This window comes from Homo sapiens, chromosome 8 (genome assembly GCF_000001405.40).
Source record: "Homo sapiens chromosome 8, GRCh38.p14 Primary Assembly".
NCBI lineage: Eukaryota > Metazoa > Chordata > Mammalia > Primates > Hominidae > Homo > Homo sapiens.
In genome coordinates, this window is record NC_000008.11 from 144,902,611 (window position 1) to 144,903,653 (window position 1,043).

A 1,043-nucleotide genomic window follows, 5' to 3' on the forward strand; every position below is an offset into this window, starting at 1 on the left:
ACTTAGCAGCCCTTGCGGGCAGGGGTTCGCACTTCACGGAGCTACCATCCACCACGCGCGTTTCGAGCAATGGGCCCGTTGCCTGGCGCACTAGAAGCCAAAACGGTGGCACCAGTTTTTGAGAAAAGAGAAGGCTTTATTATTTCAAGGTCGACGGCCAAGGAGACCGGAGGCATGGCTCAAATGTGGCTCCCACATGTGGGCTTAGGTCAAAGTCGACGGGTTAGGGAGGACAGGTTGGCACACAGAAGTGCTGGCGGGCAGGTTTCAATAGGAGGGCTTTAAACTTGGCCATTTATGGTAAGGTGTGGAATGGCAGGTTTCAGCACCAGATCTTCCAGGATAATGGACCCTTCCCTTCTGAAAGCGTTCCGCCCCTCAAGCTCCGGTCATGTCCCTGTCTTCTTGGCTCCACAGGGAGGAAACGTTGGTTCCGAGTTATGATTTTCCTCCTTTGTGCATGTCCGGGTTACATGACTTTCAGTTTTGGCTCTGCTATACCTCCTGTTACCAACAGAATAGGGTCAGTTTGGGCCAGTCTTGTGGTTACACCTCAGTGTCACAGGATTTCCTCTGCCAAAGGGCTGTGAAGCTCAGGACCAAGGTAATCAAAATTCAGCTCTACTATTGGATTGTCCTGGATTGTTTTAGCAGTTGACAGGGATCAAGCTCTGTCCCAGCAACCTTGATCCCAACAGAGAACTGATGCTCCTAGGACCTTCACCTCAGACCTCAGTGCATCCTGGTTTTTGTTTTTCTTCCTCCTCCACAACTTTTTTATTTTGCAAATGTTGATACATTCATAAAGGTTGAAAGAATAATACAATGAATACCTCCGTGCCCTTCACTTAGATTTAGCAGCTGACATCCTCTCTAGCACGTCCCTTCTGTGTCTCTGTCACTCTTTTTCCTTCAACAGCACAATGTTTATTGAGTGCTTGTGTGCTAAGCACTAAGTGTCGGGGCTACATCAGTGAACAAGCAAGTGCCTAACAAATCCATGTCTTTCTGGACCATACATGTGAATGGAGACAGTAGGCAAT